The sequence below is a fragment of the Homo sapiens genome, chromosome 12 (assembly GCF_000001405.40).
Source record: "Homo sapiens chromosome 12, GRCh38.p14 Primary Assembly".
Lineage (NCBI taxonomy): Eukaryota > Metazoa > Chordata > Mammalia > Primates > Hominidae > Homo > Homo sapiens.
Genome location: NC_000012.12, coordinates 101817181 through 101840972, shown reverse-complemented (window position 1 = coordinate 101840972; position 23792 = coordinate 101817181). Strand labels below are relative to the sequence as shown.

Genomic DNA, 23792 nt, shown 5'->3' with positions numbered 1-23792 from the left:
GGTTCAAGCGATTCTCAAGCCTCAGCCTCCTGAGTAGCTCGGATTACAGGCATGCGCCACCAGGCCTGGCTAATTTTTTTATTTTTAGTAGAGACGAGGTTTCGCCATGTTGGCCAGGCTGGTCCGTCTTGAACTCCTGATCTCAGGTGATCCACCCGCCTTGGCCTCCCAAAGTGCTGGGATTACAGGCGTGAGCCACTGCACGCGGCTAATTTTTTTTCTTTTCATAGAGATGGGTCTCACGATGTGCCCAGGCCAGTCTTAAACTCCTGGGCTCAAGCGACCCTCCAACCTTGGCCTCCCAAAGCACTGGGATTACAGGCATGAGCCAAAGCCATTGGTGAGAATATTTTCTTTTTGAGCAAACCTGAAACTTTACAAAAATGGACAATGTGCTAGGCAACGAAGGAAGAGTCAATGAATTCCAAGGAGTTTTACTATTATACAAGCTATGTTCTCTTACCTTATTTTGGTCAGGGTAATTATTTGTAGATTAAGGAATCTATTCACTGATTTAAACAGAAAGGGATTAAGTTGGCCTACCCATAAGCCCTCAGGAGGTCTGAACAAAGAGCCTTTACCTATGACAGTATTCTAGATAGAGACTACTAGGTTGAATTTGTAAGATCAGGTCCTAATACTCCACTGAACTAAGCTGTCAAGGGAGCTACTGACGCTGCCGGGATCAGAAAGAGCAGGATCAGGATGCTTTCTACAGAGGCAGGAAGCTGCTTCCAACTGCACCACACCTGCCTTGACTCACTCACTCCAGCCAAAACAGGCGCCCTTTGCACTGCCTCTCTCTCTCCATGTAGCTTACTTCCAGGTTGAAATCTTCTGTGAATTCACCTGATTAGGAGAACTTCAACCACACCTAGAACCCTGGCTTCAAGGATATGCCAATAATCAATTGTTGCCTCTCAGTTCCAAATTCACTCCTTCAGAACTTGCTGTGTATTAATGAATTGGACTTCTTTTGAAGCGTTTCTTTTGCAGTGAGTGTGATGTGAAGCTTTGCCAGTAGAGGGCGATGAAGGAATGTTGCAGGAAGAAGGTGGCATCACCCCCCGCCCCAACTCTTTCCATATTTGCTCCCCTCCCTTCCTCCGTCCTTTTAAAAATATTTATTTATTTGGCATAAAATTTTTTTACTGCTCTTTGTGGAGCAGGGCTACCCCATGGTGTGCCCATTTATTTTTTATTTATTTATTTTTTTAGAGACAGGGTCTCACTATGCTGCCCAGGCTGATCTCAAACTCCTGGGCTCAAGTGATCCTCCCACCTTGGCCTCCCAAAGTGTGCTGGGATTACAGGCATGAGGCATTGTTCCTGGGTTTTTTGTTTGTTTGTTTTGTTGTTGTTATTGTTTGTTTGTTTGTTTTTTTTTTCCACAGGATCTTGCTCTGTCACCCAGGCTGGAGAGCAGTGGTACAATCACAGCTCACTGCAGCCTCAAACTCTTGGGCTCAGGAAACTCTCCTGCCTCAGCCTCCTGAGTACTGAGTAGCTGGTACTACAGGCACGGGCCACAATGCCTGGCTAATTTCTTTCTTTAAAAAGTTTTTGTAGAGATGGGGATCTCAATATGTTTCCCAGGCTGGTCTTGAACTCATGACCTCAAGCAATCCTCCTGCCTTGGTGTTCCAAGGTTCTGGGACTACTGGCATGAGCCACTGGGCCACTCTTCTTTTCTAGATTTCATTGTTTGGTTTTTGTGTTTTCTTCTTCCTGCCACATGGTGGGTTAGGGTACCAGTATGGGAGGACATCAGCTGTGCTCTGCAGCAGCCATGCGTATCCAGAGATCACAGTATCTCAGAACCTTGCCACCCTGGCCTAGGCCTGGTGACCTCCTTGCCTTGGTCCTCCTGATGGGTACATTGTGTGCCCAGGCCTGACACCCACTGCAGTGCCCCAACTCCCAATTGTGCACCTGCATTCTGTGCCAATATTGATGGGATGCAATAAAATTAGTAATTAGAGGGACATTTATGCTTTGGAAAACATTTATTAAAAAACCATAAAATTGAAAAAATTGAGCTAAATATTAAATTTGAAAAATGAGTTCAAGAGCAACAGAGCAACAGAGCAAACAGAATAAGGGGGGAAAATTACCAAGACAGAGACACAAATCAATGAATAGAAAACCACAGAACATTAGAGAGAATGACCCAAACAGGAAGCTGGGTTTTTTTTTTGTCTGTTTGGTGTGTTTTTTTTTTTTTTTTGTCTTTTTTTTTTTTTTTTTTGGAGACGGAGTCTCACTCTGTTGCCCAGGCTGGAATGCAGTGGTGCAATCTCAGCTCACTGCAACCTCTGCCTCCCAGGTTCAGGTGATTCTTCCGCCTCAGCCTCCTGAGTAGCTGGGACTACAGGCGCACACCACCATGCCCAGCACATTTTTTGTATTTTTAGTAGAGACAGGGCATCTCGATATATTTCCCAGGCTGGTCTTGAACTCATGACCTCAAGCAATCCTCCTGCCTTGGTGTCCCAAGGTTCTGGGACTACTGGGCCAGCCTTCTTTTCCAGATTCCATTGTGAGCCACCGTGCCTGGCAGAAGCTGGTTTTTGAAAAGATTATTTAGGCTGGGCACAATGGCTCATGCCTGTAATCCCAGCACTCTGGGAGGCCGAGATGGGTGGATTGCCTGAGCTCAGGAGTTCAAGACCAGCCTGGACAACATGGCGAAAACCCATCTCTACAAAAAATACAAAAATTAGCCAGGCATATTGGTGCACACCTGTAATCCCAGCTACTCCAGGGGCTGCAGTGGGAGGATCGCTTGAGCCCAGGAGGTCGAGGCTGCAGTAAGCCAAGATGGTATCACTGCACTCCAGCCAGGGTGACAGAGAGACCCTGTCTCTAAAAAAAGAAAAGGTTATTTAGGCAAAGGGAGAAAAGATACAAAGAAGTAGTAGACAAAATGAAGCAAACAAACAACCAGAGTCAATAATGATAGAAATAACAGAGGTTTTAAAACCAAGTTGACATTAGTATATTCCACTATATAAAAATGATCCCAAGCTAGAAAGTTTTCCAAATGAGCTCTACCTCAAAACATAGGGTTATTCTCTATATCCTTTAATAACACACTGTAATTCAATTCATCAAAACTTTATACAACTCTGTGATTGGAACTTTTTTTTTTTTGAAACAGAGTCCCTCTCTGTCGCCCAGGCTGGAGTGCAGTGGCGCAATCTCGGCTCGCTGCAATCTCTGCCTCCCAGGCTCAAGCAATTCTCCTGCTTCAGTCTCCCACATAGCTGAGATTACAAGCATACACCATCACACCTGGCTAATTTTTGTATTTTTAGTAGAAATGTGGTTTCGCCATGTTGGCCAGGCTGGTTTCGAACTCCTGGGCTCAAGTGATCCACCCTCCTTGGCCTACCAAAGTGCAGGCATTACAGGTGTGAGCCACCTCAGCCAATGGTTGGTACTTTTATCAGTGCAAAATATATTAATTCATGTAATAAATTTTTATCAATTAGTTTCTATTGGCAAGACACAATGCTAAGATTAGGGATACATTTCTGGATAAGATGGGTAAGTCTCTTGCCTTTATGTTGCTTATATTCCAGTGGATGAAATGTACAAAAAAACCCACAAGTAAATATCACATAAACAGAATAAAGTATGGTTGGGCCTGGTGCGGTGGCTTATGCCTGTAATCCTAGGATTTTGGGAGGCCAAGGTGGGCGGATCATCTGAGGTCGAGAGTTTGAGACCAGCCTGGCTAACATGGTAAAACCCCATTTCTACTAAAAATACTAAATTAACTGGGCGTGGTGGCACATTCCTGTAATCTCAGCTACTTGGGAGGCTGAGGCAGGAGAATTGCTTGAACGTGGGAGGTAGAGGTTGCAGTGAGCCAAGATTGTGCCATTGCACTCCAGCCTGGGTAACAGGGCGAGGCTTCATCTCAAAAAAAAAAAAAAAAAAAAAAAAAGGACAAAGTATGGTTACATTTATGTGAAAATTAGGTATTTTATATATATGTGATGTGTTTGAACTCACAAAAAAGTTAACAGTGAGCCATGTTATGTTTTGGCTCTTGAAATTCTTCCATCCAAGTACTAACCAGGCCCAAACCTGCTTAGCTTTAAGGAGATCAGATGAAATTGGGCGCCTTCAGGGTGGTATGGCCATAGATTTGGCTCTTGAAATTCTGTCAGAGGCTGGCTGCGGTGGCTCATGCCTGTAATCCCAGCACTTTGGGAGGCCGAGGCAGGCGGATTACCTGAAGCCAGAAGTTTGAGACCAGCCTGGCCAACATGGTGAAACCCCATTTCTACTAAAAATACAAAAATTAGCCAGGCATGGTGGCAGGTGCTTGTAATCCCAGACACTTGGGAAGCTGAGGCAGGAGAGTCACTTGAACCAAGGAGGCGGAGGTTGCAATGAGCAGAGACCATGCCAAAGCACTCCTGCCTGGGCATCAGAGTGAGACTCCATCTCAAAAAAAAAAAGAAAAAAAAAAAAAAGAAAAGGAAATTCTATCAGAAACAGTTAAATTACTTAATAATTTTGTTTGCACTAGTTTGCAAAAATTAAAAGCCATCCTCACTTTCTTTTTAAAATGTATTTAATTTTATTCCAGATTGAAGGGATACACATGCATGTTTGTTAAATGGGTATACTGAATACTAGTAAAGATTGAGCTTCTAGTGTACCCATTACCCAAATAGTGAACACTGTACCTGACAGGTAATTTTTCAAATCTCATCACCCCCCAACTGTCACCTTTTTTGGAGTCCCTGGTTTTAATTATTAATATTGCCATTTTTATGCCCATGTGTACCCGTTGTTTAGCTCCCACTTATAAATGAGAACATGCAGCATTTGATTTTCTGTTTCTGAGTTAGTTCACTTAGGATAATAGCACCCAGCTCCATTCATGTTGCTGCAAAGGACATAATTTCATTCTTTTTTATGGCTGTCTGGCTTTCTTAGACTAAAGAAAGGAATAGGATGACTTACAACTTACATGTCTATGAATATACACTAAGGGAGGGAATAAAATCAAAATGTGTTTCCTGGGAACAAGCAAGATTTTCAAGCCTAGAGCTTAAAAGGAAAGCATTTACAACATGAACATTTTATCTTCTTATCATTAATAAAGGAAGGACTTAATTAAATATACACTTAACAGGAGGTATTTTAACTTTAATCAGCTACTGAAAGCTCTTTAATTTTCTTATGACCTCACAGTGAGGCTTTTGAAGCACACTATTTCTATACACAAAATATGTGTAGGCCTGGGACAAGAGGTCCCTGATTGAGCAAGATTGTTTTCTTTGGATGTTCAGTTTTCACCCTGGCTAAGCAAAGGGAGACTCAAAGATGGTAAATGTTTTAGGGTCCAATACATAAAAACATTCTCATTGTCTCCTGAGTTTTGAACCAATTGAGAAGATCATGCAAGATACAGGCAGATGAGGATCAGCTTTAATATTAATGAAATTAACTGCAGAATGTTGTTTTACATCTATGGACAAGGGGATATATAGGCTAATACTTCATCCCTGACTCAGATACACTTTCTAGGCACTGGCTTGGGCCAAGGGACAGGAATTCCCATGCCTGGTCAAGAGTGGCTCAGAACATCTGCAGCAAATAAAAATACAGGACACAGCTGGGCACGGTGGCTCACGTCTGTAATCCCAACACTTTAGGAGGCTGAGGCGGGTGGATCACCTGAGGTCAGGAGTTCAAGACCAGCCTGGCCAACATGGTGAAACCCTGTCTCTACTAAAAATACAAAAAATTAGCTGAGTGTGGTGGTGGGCACCTGTAATACGAGCTACTCAGGAGGCTGAGGCATGAGAATCACTTGAACCCAAAAGGCAGAGGTTACAGTGAGCCAAGATCACGTCATTGCAATCTGGCCTGGGCAGTAAGAGCGAAACTCCATCTCAAAAAAATAAAATAAAATAAAAAATACAGGACACACAGTTATATGTGAATTTCAAGTAAATAAAGCTTTTTAAGTATTGCATGGGATTTGCTTATGCTAAATGTATGTGGCTGCTTATCTGAAATTCACATTTAACTGGGTATTTTATCTGGCAACTCTACTATCACTGGTCTCATTTCAACTCCTCAGGCCCCCTCCAATACATTTTCCACGCCACAGTTATGATAACTCTTGAAATTCATTATCTGATTGTGTCATTTGTTAGACTTTATTAAAATTCTTCATTGTCTTTAGGATAAGGTCTTTCATTCTTGCTATGGCCTTTAAGATCCTGCCAGACTCTCTAGTTCCATTTCATTGCATCTCCAGCCCTTCTTGCCTTAGATTAGGCCTTCCATGTGGCCAGCCTTGCCTGGAACATAGTTCCCTTCCCACCCCACATCTTGAGTCCTCCAGCTCAATCTTTAGTATCACCTCCTCCAGGAAGCCATCCCTGACCTCCCAGGCTAGGTTAGTGCCCCTCACAATACTAATCCAATATATATATGCCCCTCCAGAGTGTAAATCCCACAAAAGCAGGGACCATGTCTTTCTTGGTACCCAAGTATTGGGGTACCTAAGTCATTACGAGATAGACTCAATGTCCAATAAAATGCCCAGCACAAAGCATTCATTCACAAATGCTGAATAAACACTAACCATTACTTAAACTTTTCTCATAGATTGAGCTCACCACTATATGCCATATTAGCCTACTGACTGTACTTGGAGGTACTGTTGCCTTCACTCTATCTCTCTGCTCTTACAGATATCTACATCATTGATGTGAAGATGATTACATTTTTGGAATTCATTTGACTTTTTTAAAAAATATTTTCTACATCATTTTTTTCTCTAGTTACTTCATGTTTGGGAGAAAGGCAGGAAAGGGACCTCTTTATTTATTTATTTATCTGCTATAGACTGAGAACCCAGATGACAGTTTCTCGGAATTATATTTATCAGATTTTGAGAGGGACTGTGGGGTTCTTCTAAAAGCAAAACTCAGGGGTTTCACTGGGTTCCTGGGAATCCTTTTTGATCTTTTGGCTTTTCTGGCTCTTTTAGGTTGCCAGATAAAATATTTCCAGATAAATGGGATGCTACTGCATATTTTTTCCACTGTTCAGATGTGGAGAGTTTAAAATCATTTCCAGGCCAGGTGAGGTGGCTCCCAGCATGTTGGGAGGCCAAAGTGGGAGGATTGCTTGAGCCCAGAAGTTCAACACCAGCCTGGGCAACATAGTGAGACCCTGTCTCTACAAAAAATTTAAAAAAATAATTTCCACAACTTATGCATTTACATACTACTAATGTTCTTGAAGTGCATATTTAATCAGTTAATTCTCCTGCTGAAAACCTCATTGCTTTCAGAACAAGGCTAAATGTTAATTTTCTTAAATTTTTCCAACACTAAAAATGTCGCAGGCACTTGAGCATTTTCATGTGTTATTTTACATAACCCTCCTAACTGTATAAGGTAGCTACTACAGGTATATCATATTGCACCCACATTTATTTTATTTAAGTTCAACCATACTGCCTGAGGAGGGGGAAAAGGGAGTGAACAAGAGCAAGTTCTCTAGAAGAAAGGACTTAGACAATGCTCCTGACCTCCCTTGAGGCTGTCTAGTTGGAGCCTAAAGATAAAGGAAAAATTTAAGGGTAATTCATACTACAACAAAGCATACTTTTTAAGAAGGACAGGTTCTAGGCAAGGCTAGGACTAAAGTGAGGACAGTGAAGCACTTGTCTTGGGTGGAAAATCCGAGGGAACTCCAAAAAACTCACTAATCAAGAGGAATAATATTTTAATGCTATATATATATATTTTTTTTTTTTTTTTTATTAGATGGAGTTTCACTCTTGTTGCCCAGGCTGGAGTGCAATGGCACGATCTCGGCTGACCGCAACCTCTGCCTCCCGGGTTCAAGTGATTCTCCTGCCTCAGCTTCCTGAGTAGCTGGGATTACAGGCATGTGCCACCATGCCCTGCTAATTTTGTATTTTTAGTAGAGATGGGGTTTCTCCATGTTGGTCAGGCTGGTCTCAGACTCCTGACCTCAGGTGATCCACTCGCCTCAGCCTCCCAAAGTGCTGGGATTATAGGCGTGAGCCACCGTGCCCAGCCTAATGCAATATTTTTAAAAAATCAAAATTAATGGTTGGGCGCAGTGGCTCATGCTTGTAATCCTAGCACTTTGGGAGGTCAAGGCAGGTGAATCACTTGAGGTCAGGAGTTCAAGACCAGCCTGACCAAGATGCTGAAACCCCATCTCTACTAAAAATGCAAAAATTAGCCGGGGGTGGTGGCATGTGCCTGTAATCCCAGCTACTCAGGAGGCTGAGTCAGGAGAATTGCTTGAAGCCAGGAGGCGGATGTTGCAGTGAGCTGAGATCACGCCACTGCAACCCAGCCTGGGCAACAGAGCAAGACTCTGTCTCAAAAAAAAAAAAAAAACCCAAAAAACAAAAAAAACAAAAAACATTACTGAAGAATATCCATGAAAAGCAAAACACCCAAACTTTATGTTTTATTTTACGTTTTAAATTTTTTTTTTATTTTAATAGGAACAGGGTCTGTTACCCAGGCTGGTCTCAAACTTCTGGGCTCCCAGACTCCTGGGCTCAAGCTATCCTCCCACATTGACCTCCCAAAGTATTGGGATTACATGCATGAGCCACCACACCCAGCCCCGATATCAAAACTATAAACAAAGACAGAATCTCACTCCAAACTTGCATGACTCATTTCACAGTACCTTCCCCTAATCTTGGCCCTGTTCTACAGCCTAAGTACCTGGTTCAAATCTCAATTCTGTCATTTACTATTTGTGTGATGTTAGATAGTTACTTTTTTTCATCACAGTTTCTTGATCTGTAGAATGGGGATAATAATGGTATCTCCATTATAAGATTATTGTGAGGATTAGATGAGCTGGGCACATGGCAGATGCTACATAAATGTTGGCCATTATCCTGAGAGTCCTGTTGAGTGGCAGATGTTTTTATATCTGTTACCATGCTTTTTTACCCCTTCTGATTAAGTCCTCAGATCTGTTATCATGCTTGAAAAGACCTCAGAACTATATGTGTCTTGTACAACTGCAATAATCTTTTGCCATGTACATATAGCATATATCAATCATCTTTTTTAAAAGAAGGATTAAAAGAAGTGACTGCAAAGTGTAAAAAATCTTGCCTTGGATTGGAGTGAAGCTAACCCCTTTTGCAAGTCTGTTAATTCCACCTGACCATCAAACTGAGGGTGCGAATTTGAGTATTTCCTGAAGCTGGTTCCCAAGATATTTTTAAAAATGCTTTGAATGATGGCAACATTAGATAAGTGTATTGTTTCCCAGGGTGACTAGGAAAAAAATCTTATTGACTAGGGTGCATTGGGATTAAGAAAAAGATCTCCCTTTCGTAAATCAGAGGCACCAAGGAAAGGATCTCGTGGGAAAAACCTGCTGTCAAAGTCGGATTACCTGGCCACCCCTGAGCTGGTTCCCCTCCAGTTCATCGCATGATTTCTATCATAACAACTCTTGTATTTAGTGGTTTACATGTTTATCTCCCCCACTAGACTCTCTGAGAACAGTAGCCAGGTCTAGTTCATTTTTGAATACCTGACACCAAGCACTATGCCACCTAACAGGCACAAATTACATATTTAACGACTAAATGAATGAACGAAATTCGGTTTTGGCAGATTTAACCCAAAGGTTTCCTCTTTCAAACAATATAGTTGGGGGTTGGAGGAAAGGAGCCACATACAGCATCTCCTTTTAGCACTCTGCAGAGAATGCTAAGTGCAGAGAAGGTTTTATGCACAAAAATATTCATGGCATTATAGTACCGTCTATGGCACAGTCTCGACGCAGGGGGCAGTTTTCTCTTGGTCGCCTGCCCAACCGGGTAAGTGGATCCCAGCTCAGCTCCGCCCCTCCCAGCCCAGCCCTCAGGGCCCGCTGCGCAAGCGCAGGTGGGGAGGGCGCGCACCTTCCCTATGCCCCTCCGTCCTCCAGGTGGCGCTGGAGACCCCGCCGCCGCCGCAGCCGCCTCTCGCCCGGCCAGACCCGGGCGGCGCCGGCCGCCTCGCCGGCCGCAGGTCCGCCTCCGCCGCGCCGAGGGCGTGGGCTCCCGGCTCCCGGAAGCGGCGGCCGCGGCGCGGAGCCGAGCGGGCGTCCGTCGCCGGAGCTGCAATGAGCGGCGCCCGGAGGCTGTGACCTGCGCGCGGCGGCCCGACCGGGGCCCCTGAATGGCGGCTCGCTGAGGCGGCGGCGGCGGCGGCGGCGGCTCAGGCTCCTCGGGGCGTGGCGTGGCGGTGAAGGGGTGATGCTGTTCAAGCTCCTGCAGAGACAGACCTATACCTGCCTGTCCCACAGGTATGGGCTCTACGTGTGCTTCTTGGGCGTCGTTGTCACCATCGTCTCCGCCTTCCAGTTCGGAGAGGTGAGTAGCGGCGCCGCAGCCTGGACCGGGCGCCTCGACCCTGCACTGCCCTCGCCGTGCCCCGCGATGCCCCGATACAGTATGTATTTTTTCATTATTAGAGACGGGGTTTTGCCATGTTGCCCAGGCTGGTCTCGAACTCCTGAGCTCAGGCGATCGCCCTGTCTCGGCGTCCCCGAGTGCTGGGATTACAGGCGTGAGCCACCGCTCCCGGCCAAATACAGTATTCTTTATCATAAACGTGTGCAGAGACTATGAGCAAGTCAGAACTGGAAAAAGGCATGTATGTGATTTTAGATATTGCTCCCTCGCCCACCGTTTTTTAAAAATAGAGACGGAGGTCTCCCTATGTTGCCCAGGTTGGTCTGGAAGTCCTGGGCTCAAGTGATCCTCCCTTCTTGGCTTTCTAAAGTGCTGGGGTTACAGGCATGAGCTACCGCACCTGGCCCAAGAAAGCCACTTTTAGCAACGGGGAGGAAAGCTGTATTTTTAAGTGGTTTGAAATCTGTTCCTTAGTTTTAGTTTTTTTCTTTTTCTTTTTTTTTTTTTTTTTTGGTAGGAGGTTACAAAAGGTTTTAAAATTTAACAGAGTAGTTTTTAGAAATGCCACAGTATACATTTGCTTGAAGTCTTTACCCATGCTGGATTGTAAGCTCCGTAAGAGAAGGTGCTGTCTGTAAATACTGTAACCCTGGCCCAAGCACAGTGCCAGGTACTGCCAGAGAATGCAGTGCAAGTGTTTGTTTAATGGCTAAATTATATGGCATGAATTCTGAGCATGTACTTTTTTAGTAGTTCTTGGTTCTAGAGGCTGGGAAAAAATGTCTTACCATAAGGGTGAGAAAGCTCCAGATTTGTAAGTGTGAAATATGTACTTAATATTATAGTACTTGCTCGTCTTTGTTTCATGTGTTGCAACTTAATGTATCTGTGTGTAGTTAGGTGCCTTATTGCTTTTGTGTGATTTTTTTGGCCTTGATTAATTTTGAGTTAACTGTTTATTAAGTCCCATGCAGTGTGAAGATGACTTAAAGGCATCAGGTGTTAGAATTCTTCATTTTATTTTATTTTTTTGAGACAGAGTCTTGCTCTGTTGCCCAGGCTGGAATGCAGTGGCTCCATCTCGGCTCATTGCAACCTCTACCTCTCAGGTTCAAGAAATTCTCCTACCTCAGCCTCCTGAGTAGCTGGGACTACAGGCGCGTACCACCATGCACAGCTAATTTTTGTATTTTTAGTAGAGATGGAGTTTCACTATGTTGGCCAGGCTGGTCTCAAACTTCTGACCTCAAGTGATCTGCCTGCCTTGGCCTCCCAAAGTGTTGGGATTACAGGTGTAAGCCACCGCACCTGGCCCGAATTTTTCATTTTATATCCTTTTCTTTTTGCTTTCATTCCATGCTTGGCTGTTTACCAAAAGAGAGACATTTTGTTGCAGTCCTGAAATGGCCACAGATCATAAGGTTTGGAACAGACAAGAGAAATGAGAGGCAGACAGTGCCAACAGGTGTCATGAGAGGTGAAGGCAGCTGGCCTGTGGTTAACTTGTAAGGCATAATGGAAAAGAGGAGCTGCATGATTAGGCAGATTTGGCCTTGATTGCTGACTCCAGTTGATAATGATCATAATAATAGCTAATACTTATATTGGTCTTAACAGGTATCAGGCACTCTCTTAATTGCTTTACATATGTTAACTGATTTAATCCTCACAACATCACCCCTGTGGGATAGGTGCTATTATTATAACCATTTTATAGGTGATGAAATGGATGCATTTGCATTAGAATCCAGCTAATTTGTGGCAGAGCTGGGCTTCAAACCAAGCCAGGCTGGCTCAGAGCTGTGCTTTTTTTTTTGTTTGTTTTTTGAGATGGAGTCTCACACTGTCACCCAAGCTGGAGTGCAATGGCGCAATCTCGGCTCACTGCAACCTCTGCCTCCTGGGTTCACGTGATTCTCATGTCTCGCCTCCTGGGTTCACGTGATTCTCATGTCTCAGCCTCCCAAGTAGCTGGGATTACAGGTGCGTGCCACCACACCTGGCTAATTTTTTGTATTTTTAGTAGAGATGGGGTTTCACTATGTTGGCCAGACTGGTCTCGAACTCCTGACCTCATGATTCGCTTGCTTTGGTCTCCCATGGGATTACAGGCGTGAGCCACCACGACCAGCCTAAGCTGTGCTCTTGAGCACCCCTTTTTATGGTTTCTCAAACAGCCCAGGCTGTTCCTTGTCTGATCTTGGGAAGGATATTTAACCTCTCTGAGCTTCCTTATCTTTGAAATGGAGGCCAGATTACCTTCCTTGCAGGGTTGATGAGGATTAAATAAGATGGGTATGTAAAGCACCTCACACAGTTCCTACTACATAACAGACCCTCATTAAATGGTCATGGCTACTGCTGCTATTATATTATCAACTCTTTTATGTCCTTAAACCTTATTTTGAAATATATCCTTGAATCAGAATACTTTGATCATATAGTTAATATTACCAACTTGTTAATAATCTCACTAATTGTAATGGATTGTAAGCTCACTAATTGTAAGTCCTTTTGGACTAAGAAGATCATTGTTTTTTTTGTTTTGTTTTGAGATAGAGTCTCACTCTTGCCCACGCTGGAGTGCAGTGGGGTGATCTCAGCTCACTGCAACCTCCACCTTCCAGGTTCAAGTAATTTTCCCTGCCCCACCCTCCGGAGTAGCTGGGATTATAGGCACCCGCCATCACGCTAGACTAAGTTTTTGTATTTTTAGTAGAGACAGGGTTTCACCATGTTGGCCAGGCTGGTCTCAAACTCTGGACCTTAGGTGATCCGCCTGCCTTGGCCTCCCAAAATGCTGGGATTATAGGTGCGAGCCACTGTGCCTGGCCCTCAGAAGATCATTGTTAACTGTAAATTTGTTATCGTCTCCTCCTCTCAATATAACAGGTATTTGATGCTGTATTTTGATAAGCCTTTTCTATATTCATCCAAACTTCGAGAAGTAGAATTGAGGGAAGGAAGTATCAAACAAAACAAGCTGGGTGAGGTGGCTCATGCCTGTAATCCCAGGACTTTGGGAGACTAAGGCTGGAGGATTGCTTGAAGTCAGGAGTTGGACAAGCCTGGGAAACAAAGGAGACCCTGTCTCTACAAAAAAAAATAAAAATAAAGGCTGGGCGTGGTGGCTCACACCTGTAATCCCAGCACTTTGGCAGGCCGAGGCAGGAGAATTGCTTGAGCTCAGGAGTTTGAGACCAGCCTGGGCAACATGGCGAAACCCTATCTCTGCAAAAAAAGTAGAGTAGTCCCAGTTGCTTGGGAGACTGGGGTGGGAGGATCACTTGAGCCCTGGTGGTTGAGGCTGCATGAGCCGTGATTGCACCACTGCACTTAAGCCTGGGTGACAGAGTGAAACCTTGTCTCAAAAATAAATACATAAATAAAAAAAGTTAGCTAGGTGTGGTGGCACATGCCTGTAGTCCCAGCTGCTCAGGAGGCAGGAGGCTGTGGCAGGAGTGTTGCTTGAGCCCAGGAGTTTGAGGTGCAGTGCCTGTGATTGTGCCATGCACTCCAGCCTGGTAGACCTGGTCTCAAAAAAAAAAAAAAAAAAAAAAAAAAAACAACTCCCACAGGGAGAGCCTTCAGAATGGGGACTAGTGGTCACAAAAATGCATTGCCTTGGACTGTAGGTAGCAGGTAATCAGTCTATTGTAAATTAGTTAGCTCCACAAATGGTGTTACTAGATTGACTGCTCTTAAGATCCTTTTTAGCTTAGAAACTTCTGGTTTTTAAATAATTTGTTCTCTGTTAGTTGCTACTGTATAGATTTTAAAACGTGTTTTTGAGTTAAAATTTATTATTTCAGGGCCATCATTATTTAATCGAACCATTTATATACAAGTCCACAATTCTTCACACTCAGGAAAATACAGACTATACCTAGCCTCAAGTCAGTTTAGTCATTTTGCCACCAAATAAGTACAGGGCAGGTCAAGTTTAGTTGCCAAATAAGGTACAAAAAGATCTCTAGGTAGGGCTGGTCTGTTTTGAAAAAAAAAAAAAATTAAAAATCAGAAAAATAAAATTAAAAAAATTAAAAATTAGAAACAAAAAGTTGAAAGCCCCTCCAGTATTCAGAGCATTTTGGATTTCAGGATTACTAATAGAGGGTTGTAGATCAGTGTGTATATGTGTATGTGTATCTGTGTGTGGGGGTATGGTGTATGTATAACGTATCACTTCCTTTGTGCACTAAGTATGGAAACAAATATCCAAGAATTAACTTGCATAAGGAAGCAAAATAGGTTCACATAGAATCTACTCGTAATGAATGGTAATTTTTCCGTGACCTCTCTGCTCCCTTTTGCTTTCCTGCTTTTCTGTTGCCATTTTGAATCAATGAGTTATTTTCTGTGAAAAGGAGAATTGAAAACTGGGTCTAGCTCAAGTTATGTTCAGCCTCAGTGGTGACCAGTGTCTTATACTGGCCTTATTTCAAGAAATTAGTTATCATTTTTGTATTTGATTAGTTCACTCATTAAACAGATATATTTGAGTGTGTTCTTGGCCAAAGGCAACAAACAGATGAGTTAGAAAGAGGCCTGGCCTGAGAGTGGGGACCGTCTGGCCTGCTCCTAGGTGCAGCACAAATTGTGATCCTCAGTGGTTCCCAAACTGAGTTACTCCCAGCTGCCTTGTGGGTTGGGAGTAGCCCCTCTTATCTATTTCGTGTGGACTTGTTTTCTGGGAAAGGTTTCATTGTTTAAAAAATGTTTACAAACTATGAGACTATATTTCTAAGAGCCTCATTTTAGCTTTAATGTTTTGTGAATATACATTTATTGGATACTTCACATGAGAAGCATGACTTGTAATGGATTTTATACTAGAGATGCCAATGGCCACACAGAGCCTTTTTAAAGGGTCTCTTTGTTTTGGGGGGTTTGTGAGAGGTACATAGTCCAGCTAACTATCAAAGTAGGGACCTTGTCTTATTCTCTGCTGTATTCTTAGCCACTAGAAAGTGATTGGTACCCAGTAGATGCTGAATAAATACTTGATGGATGCATGAATGAATGGATTGATTAATTGGGTTGATCTTAACTGACATCCTTTCAAATTTATTTCAAGTAAAGGTAAATTTTTTGCTCTGATGTAGCGTTTATAGTTCCCTTTTATTTCTCAAATGTGATTGATCTGATATAACTTGAACATTTTCATGCTCTGAGAGTCATTCCTGCTCTGGTAACTTTCTCTAAAAATCTGAGACCTGTTGTTAGACTGTACAGTGGAAGATGCTGTCGTCAGAATATACAGTGGAAAATGCTGTCAGAGATACAAATAATTATAGCTCATGCCTTTGGCTATTGTTTAGTTGAGATGAGGCCAAGATGTATGTATGAGGACTGAATAACAACACAGGGGAATAAGCAATTGAATGCCTGAGTTAGTACACAACAATTGCTTAGAAAGTCAGAAGACAGAAGAATGTTGTGGGTTGAAACATCCTCGAGGCAGTTCTGACACCTTTTCAAGGAGGCATGAGCTTTAGGGAGGCTTCATGGACAAGTAGGAGTTTAAACAGAAGAGAGACAAGGAAAGATTATTTTAGGAAGTGGTGGGAGTAATTTTAGCATAAAGTTGGTAATGTCAGAGAAGTTTGTGATCGCTTTTTCTTTTTGAATTACTAGTGGTTTAACATTGCAGCTAGAATTAGTTAACAGCACTAGGTTGCAAGTGACAGACTCCCAACTCAGACCTAGCTTATTAACTAGTTTATTATTAACCAGTTTGTTAACTGGGATAATTGAAAAATATAGGATGAGGCCAGGTGTGGTGGCTCATGTGTGTAATCCCAGCACTTTGGGAGGCCAAGGCGAGTTCGAAAGCAGCCTGGCCAACATGGTGAAACCCTGTCTCTACAAAAAATACAAAAATTAACTGGGCGTGGTGGTGCATGCCTGTAGTCCCAGCTACTTGGTAGGCTGAGGCAGGAGAATCGCTTGAACCCTGGAGGCAGATGTTGCAGTGAGCCAAGATTGTGCCACTGCACTCCAGCTTGGGCGACAGAGTGAGGCTCTGTCTCAAACAAAACAAAACAAAAAGGTTAACCAAAAAAAAAAAAAAAAAAAAGAAAATATATATATATATATATATATATATATGGTGAAATTTCTGGCAGGAGTGGATCGAGGTGCTCAAATGATGTCATCAGGAATCTCTTTTTGTCCCTGTTTCTCACCTCTGCCTTCCCCTCTTTAGTTTACTTCTCAGCAAGCTCTCCTCATATGAGAACAAGGATTGCTGCTGGCAACCCCACCTTCTGTTCTACCAGTTCAGTAACTGCAGCAGAAAGATAGCTTTTCTTTCTCATTAGTGCCAACTAGACCCAGGGCTGCCTGCCTAGCCAGAGGAATGAGTGCCCTTGTTATACCCTTGTTAACCACTGGGATCGTCTCCAGAAATAGGGGAGTGGGTGGGGCTGTCAGTCTCAACTGAACCACGTGAACTGAGAGGAGAGCTTCAGAAGATAATCACAAGGCTGTTACCCAAAGAAGGGCCGGAACAACAGATGTCTTGAAGACACTGGCTTCAGTCAAAACCCATTTCCTCTCCCTGGCTTTACTGGTGACATTGTGTCTGTGATAGCTGTTAGCCCTTTACCTTGCTCTAGAAGTTGTAAAGTAGATTGTTTCTATTTTTAATATCTGGTTAATTAATCTATCTGGGAAACTTGTTTTCTTGCATGGATATATTAATATGGAGCTTTGTTAAACACAGCTCAAGTGTGCCGTTATAAATCTTTCAGTGATGATCAAATATATACCTTTAACTTATATGGTGATTTGATAATTGCATTTGGTCTTTCTCTTGAGATCTAAATATTGTTCATTTTGTTAATGAATGTTATCACATTGTGAGAGAAAAACTTAACCTGACTTTTTTTTTTTTTTTTTTTTTGAGACGGAGTCTCGTTCTGTCTCCCAGGCTGGAGTGCAGTGGCGCAATCTCAGCTCACTGCAACCTGCACCTCCTGGGTTCAAGCGATTCTCTTGTGTCAGCCTCCCGAGTAGCTGGGATTACAGGCACCCACCACAACACCTGGCTAATTTTTGTATTTTTAGTAGAGACGGGGTTACACCATGTTAGCCAGGCTGGTCTCAAACTCCTGACCTCAAGCAATTTGCCTGTCTTGGCCTCCCAAAGTGCTGGGATTACAGACATAAGCCACTGCGCCTGGCCTTAACCATGCCTGCTGCCTCTCCAACAAGCTCTAGATCCACACTTCCTACCAGCTGCCTACACCGCATACCTGGCACCCTGCCTTCCTAAGACTCGGCCTTGTTCATCATGGCACTTTTCCGTTCCTAAGCCCAGATATAGTTTCAGAATAATTTCTCTAACAGTTTGGTGTTCCTCCAACTTTTGAGAGGACTGTCAGAAGATGGAGGAAGAACTTGACCCAGGACCTCAGCAGTCCTTTCCTGGCATTGGTCCCAGTTATGCTTATAGAGCCATTCTTAAGCAAATCTCTTGAAAGGAGAAAGGGGTTACTTTTAGACCAATCTGACCTACCTCTGAATCTCGGGACTGGTCTCCCAAATATTTGTTATGTAGGGGTAGGTTCCTTTATGGAAGAAGAATAGATAAGTGATGCTGGGTAGGCAGCTGGCTGTAATTGTCATGTTGAATAAGCACACCTTGTGGGATGTGTAGCCAATCCCTTTATTCTTTATCTTCCACTGGCTCTTTGTATTGTCTTGCACCCCTGCCCCTGGATGAAAATTCAGGTGGGCCTGATATTTCTGTGGTCACTTCACACTACAGAACAGAATGTGAATTCAGCAATTAGAGTCTTCAGTCCTAAAGCATAACAGAACTTAAAGCCTAAGTTCCTTCTCCCAGTACAGGCCTGCTGCAGGGAGAAAGCCTGCAGTGGAGGAAGGGAGGGTGGCCACAGTGGGCATCTTCTCACTTTTCATCACTTGATGATTCTCTTTCTGCTCTGTAACCTGTTTCTGATCCCTCCTGTGTTGGAGCACATGAAAGAAAGGAAGGAAATGAGGACAGGAAACTTCTTCCTGAATGAGTGCAGGAGCTCTCTGGGATGTTGTGCAGGTGTTAGAGCTTATTCTTTCTTTCTTTCTTTCTTTTTTTTGAGACGGAGTCTCGCTGTCGCCCAGGTTGGAGTGCAGTGGCGCGATCTCGGCTCACTGCAGGCTCCGCCCCCCGGGGTTCACGCCATTCTCCTGCCTCAGCCTCCCGAGTAGCTGGGACTACAGGCTCCCGCCACCTCACCCGGCTAATTTTTTGTATTTTTAGTAGAGACGGGGTTTCACCGTGTTAGCCAGGATGGTCTTGATCTCCTGACCTCGTGATCCGCCCGCCTCGGCCTCCCAAAGTGCTGGGATTACAGGCGTGAGCCACCGCGCCCGGCCAGAGCTTATTCTTTCTTGAGTGTTTTCAAGGGGCATCCTTCAGAGACCACAGCCACCGCCGTGCTCAGGAGTGGTCACCTGCTTTTCCCCTGATGAGACCAAATGCCTCTTCATTCCGTTTGGTTGCTTATTCCTTCCATAGATCCTAAGAATCTGATAATAATGGGAGCTTCTCATTTCAGCCTCTTTTGCCCAGTGAGTAGGCCCAGGGTGACCTTCTGCTGGTTCTTTGTTGTATGTGGCCCACGTCCTTTGCTCAGACTAGGGGAGGGTGGGCTGATTCCAGCGGAGTGACAACTTCTCTCTTGTCCTCAGAGCAATTAGCCAGCCAGCACTTTATATTTTTCAGGTGTTACACAGACATGGTACCCACCCAACTTCATGGACCCATAGTGAGTTCTCTTGGTAATTTTGTTGAGCCCTTTTCTTGGGCGTAAGGAAGTGGGAAACAGACTTCCACTGCTCCCCCTTGAATGAGGTGGAGCAGGCGTCACAGAATGCCAGCTACCTCTGAAAACCTCCTCTGATCGCCACCTCCTGGACCTTTCTACCATGATTTGGATGAGTCTGCAACTGTTCCTTAAGAAACTTTGCATCTTGGCCCAACACTTCACTTTGGAATGTGGTATCTTGTATTTTGCTGCCTCAGAAGAAACTTATTTTTACATGCACAGCTTCTCAATTTGGTTACCAGTTAATTGAGCTTGCCTGGGAGATGAAACTTATTTGCTATTTCTGTGCTCAGCATCCTGGTCACAAAGATGGAATCTTCCTTATCTTCAAATCCCTGTGCCCTGGCAGAGTGCCTGCCTCATTCATTCAGTGACTACTTAATTTTTGAGCACTGTACCAGGCCCCTGGGGATCCAGCAGTGAACAAAGCAGACTTGGCTCCTGCTGACAAGGAGCTTATATTCTGGTGGTGCAGTCAGACATTAACTGCCACTTCATTACTATTGTGAGAAATGCTGTAAAGAAATAGAGCATCGTTGTGGAAGAGACCAGCAGTGAGAATCAGTTTGGTCTGGTGGCAGGGGATCAGGAGATGCTTGCTTTTTTTTTTTTTTTTTTTTTTGAGACGGAGTCTCACTCTGCCGCCCAGTCTGGAGTGCAGTGGCCACTATCTTGGCTCACTGCAACCTCCACCTCCTGGGTTCAAGTGATTCTCCTGCCTCGGCCTCCTGAGTAGCTGGGATTACAGGCTTGCACTGCCACGCCCAGCAACTTTTTAAATTTTTAATAGAGATGGGGTTTCACTGGTTGGCCAGGCTGGTCTTGAACTCCTGACCTCAGGTGATCCACCCACCTCGGCCTCCCAAAGTGCTGGGATTACAGGTGTGAGCCACTGTGCCCAGCTGGGAGATGCTTTCTTGCTTGATGCTGTTTGAGTTCAACCGTAGAGGGTAAGAATTGCTGAGGCTGAGGACAGAGGAGGTCAAGTCAGCTCTAGGACAGTGGTTCTTAGCTAGGTGTGATTTTGCCAAATGTCTAGAAACATTTTTGGTTGATACAGCTGGGGCATGGCATGGGGTTGATGCTACTGGCATTTAGTGGGTAGAAGCCAGGGATCCTGCCAAACATCCTATAGTGCACAGGACAGCCCCTACAACAAAGAATCATCCAGCCCAAAATGTCGATAGTGCTGAAGTTGAGAAATCCGGAATTAGAAGGGGCAAGAATGGCTGCAGGGCAGTTAGTCTACAGGACTGGCCTGGGACTAGGTCAGTGGAAGGACATAGGAAGAGAAATGGACAGATTCAAGAGGCTTAAGAGGCAAAATCCTCCAGTCCTTATGTTCCATTATGTGCTAGGCACTCCACCAACATCTTGGGATACAAAAGTAAGCGAGATAGACAAGTTCATTTGCTCTCGCAGACCCTACTTGTAGTTCTTAAGTGAATATTTGTTGAATGAATACTTATAAGCATCAAAATTTATTTTTGTTGCTGATTGTGACTGAACTTAGGAAGAGTAGTTTAAGTGAGGTGCCTAATGTATGTAAGACATCTTGCGTAGAGGCTGGTCCTAGGCGTTCAGCTAATTAAGTGCCAACTGTCCCATCTCAGGATTGTTTTCCATGTGGCCAGAGTGCTCATGAAGAAAGGACAGGAGACCACCCTGTGAGCTTATGCCTCTTAATCTTTCCTTAAATACAGAACAGGAGAACTCACAGTGATTTCTTGACCTTGGTGTGCTGTGTTATGATTGCTATGAAATCAGAGGGAGCAAGTCCTTTATTTAATATAGCTTGTACTGTATACTAATATATGTAGGCTTCCTATAGTTCCTTCTAAAATATAACAGGTGTAACTATAATAGATTATATATATTCATGATATATCTTTTTAAAATTTCTGCTGTTCTTTAGATTGTTCTCATCTTGCGATACAGATGCAGAATCTTCAGCAGTTGATTAGTCAGCCTATGTGTGATTCGTATGCATACTAAATTACACAGGAAAAAGTGATCTTTCAGAAAGACCAGGTCAGGTCACACTCATTCAGGGAGTGAAACTCATTCTATGATCAGACTAAAAACCATATTGCCCACTTTAAGATTACTTCTCAAAATTGCTTCATTTTTTTAGGATTCTAGTTTTTCTTTTTCCTTTGATAAACCTTTTTCCCCCCCTTCATTTTCTCACTTCATTTCTGTCTCTCATTAATTCCCAATTAGATAAAGCTTCTAAAGCAAATTTTCAGAAGTTGTTCATGTGACAGGCTTATGGAGGTGTTCACTTTGGGCCAGTGTATTAGTCCATTTTCATACTGCTGTGAAGACATACGCGAGACTGGGTAGTTTATAAAGAAAAAGAGGTTTAGGCCAGACATGGTGGCTCATGCCTGTAATCCCAGCACTTTGGGAGGCCGGGGCAGGTGGATCACCTCAGGTCAGGAGTTCAAGACGAGCCTGGCGAACATGGTGAAACCCTGTCTCTACCAAAAATACAAAAATTTGCCAAGTGTGGTGGCGGGCACCTGTAATCCCAGATACTTGGGAGGCTGAGGCAGGAGAATTGCTTGAACCTGGGAGGTGGAGGTTGCAGTAAGCCAAGATCGTGTCATTGCACTCCAGCCTGGGCGACAAGAGCGAGACTCTGTCTCAAAAAAAAAAAAGGAAAAAGAGTTTTAATGTACTTGCAGTTCCACATGGCTGGGGATGCCTTACAATCATGGTGAAAGGGGAAAGAGGAGCAAAGGCACATCTTACATGGCAGCAGGCAAGAGAGCATGTGCAGAGGAACTGCCCTTTATAAAACCATCAGATCTTGTGAGACTTACTCACTATCACAGGAACAGCATGGGAAAAGCCTACTCCCATGATTCGGTTACCTCCCATCAGGTCCCTCCCATGACACATGGGGATTATGGGAGCTACAATTCAAAATGAGATTTGGGTGGGGACACAGGCAAACTATATTAGCCAGGTTGTCTACTGTTGACTAAAGACACAAAGGGCTGGGCACGGTGGCTCAGGCCTATAATCCCAACACTTTGGGAGTCTGAGGTGGGTGGATCACCTGAAGTCAGGAGTTTGAGACCAGCCTGGCAACATGGTGAAACCTCATCTCTACTAAAAATACAAAAATTAGTCGGGTGTGGTGTCAGGTGCCCGTAATCCCAGCTACTTGGGAGGCTGAGGCAGGAGAATCACTTGAATCTGGGAGATGGAGGTTGTGGTGAGCCGAGATCGTGCTACTGGACTCCAGCCTGGGCAACAGAGTAAGACTCTGTCTCCAAAAAAAAAAAAAAAAAAGACACAAATATATTTAAGTTGCTTTCTGCTCTGGAGGAACTCATAGTCCAGGCAGGGAGGTGGACAGGCAAGTAGGCAAACTTGAAATGTGTTGTGATGAATGCAGTGCCAAGCACACTTTCTCAGATGGTGTGATACCTGAGCTTGGTCTGGAAGGAGATGGCTGAGTAAAGGAAGGGGAGTGTTTTTGTTTGTTTTGTTTCTTAAGGAAAAGATGCCATTGGTGTAAAGGTATGGATATGAGACATTATTAACTTCTAAGAACAAAAGTAGTTCTAAAGGGCTGCAGCATCTTTGGAGTGACAGGGGAATGAAGCCGAAGAGGCAGGCAGGGGCCAGTTTAGGACTTGCCTGCTGGGTGGTACTAAGGAATGTGAATTCATCCTGAAGAAAATGGGGACCATCAAAGGATTTTAAGGAAGAGAGTGATGAAATAAAATCTGTGCTTAGAACAGTTGCTCTGGAGGTAATGTGGAAGATGAATTGCAGGTGGGGGAAAACGGGCAACAGGAGACGGGGTGAAAATCCCACATCAAGTATAATGCTTCAGAATCCACAAGCTTTTTTGATATTTTTATTTTTTGAGACAGGATCTCGCTATGTTCCCCAGACTGGTCTTGAACTCCTGGGCTCAAGTGATCCTCCCACCTCAGCCTCCCCATAGCTGGGATTGTAGGCATGTGTCACCTTGGCTAGCTATTTAAAAAATTAATTACTTTAATTTTTAATTATTATGGCTATATAATAGTTATGCACATTTATGGAGTACATGTGATATTTTTATACATGCATACAATCTGTAATGATCAGGCTGGGTGCAATGGCTCACACCTGAATCCCAGCACTTTGAGAGGCTTAGGTGGGTGGGTTGCTTGAACTCAGGTGTTCAAGACCAGCCTGGGCAACATGACAAAACCCCATCTCTACAAAAAAATACAAAACTTAGCTAGGTGTGGTAGCACGTGCCTGTAGTCCCAGCTACTCTGGAGGCTGAGGTAGGAGGATCACTGGAGCCCAGGAGATTGAGGCTACATTGAGCCATGATTGTGCCACTGCTCCACCCTGGGTGACAGAGTGAGACCCTGTCTCAAAAAAAAAAAAAAAAAAAAAAGTGGAATGATAAAATCTGGGTAATGGGGATATCCATCATCTCAACCATGTATCATTTCTTTGTGTTGGGAACATTCTAGATCTTC

The 23792-nt window shown here is 43.8% G+C and overlaps 1 protein-coding gene and 1 pseudogene across 2 annotated transcripts in view, besides 2 other annotated features; one reads left to right on the top strand and one right to left on the bottom strand.

Annotated features, from left to right (window-relative positions):
- RNA5SP369 (RNA, 5S ribosomal pseudogene 369) lies at positions 4046–4153 on the bottom strand (annotated as a pseudogene).
- Positions 9832–10231: a silencer, noted in NCBI's record as "silent region_4771". NCBI's record gives its function as "represses an Ori minimal core promoter by ATAC-STARR-seq in GM12878 lymphoblastoid cells {active_cell/tissue: GM12878}" and the evidence as "EXISTENCE:reporter gene assay evidence [ECO:0000049][PMID:35858748]".
- Positions 10014–23792, top strand: part of GNPTAB (N-acetylglucosamine-1-phosphate transferase subunits alpha and beta) — an 85461-nt gene continuing 71682 nt past the window's right edge. For both annotated transcript variants that reach the window (NM_024312.5, XM_006719593.4), the window contains exon 1: positions 10014–10414. In NM_024312.5, the coding sequence (NP_077288.2) occupies positions 10298–10414 (117 nt within the window). In that variant the 5' untranslated portion in view covers positions 10014–10297. The remainder of the gene's footprint in view (positions 10415–23792) is intronic.
- Positions 10588–10882: a silencer, noted in NCBI's record as "tiled region #5955; HepG2 Repressive non-DNase unmatched - State 1:Tss". NCBI's record gives its function as "represses a minimal TATA promoter and a strong SV40 promoter by Sharpr-MPRA in HepG2 cells {active_cell/tissue: HepG2}" and the evidence as "EXISTENCE:reporter gene assay evidence [ECO:0000049][PMID:27701403]".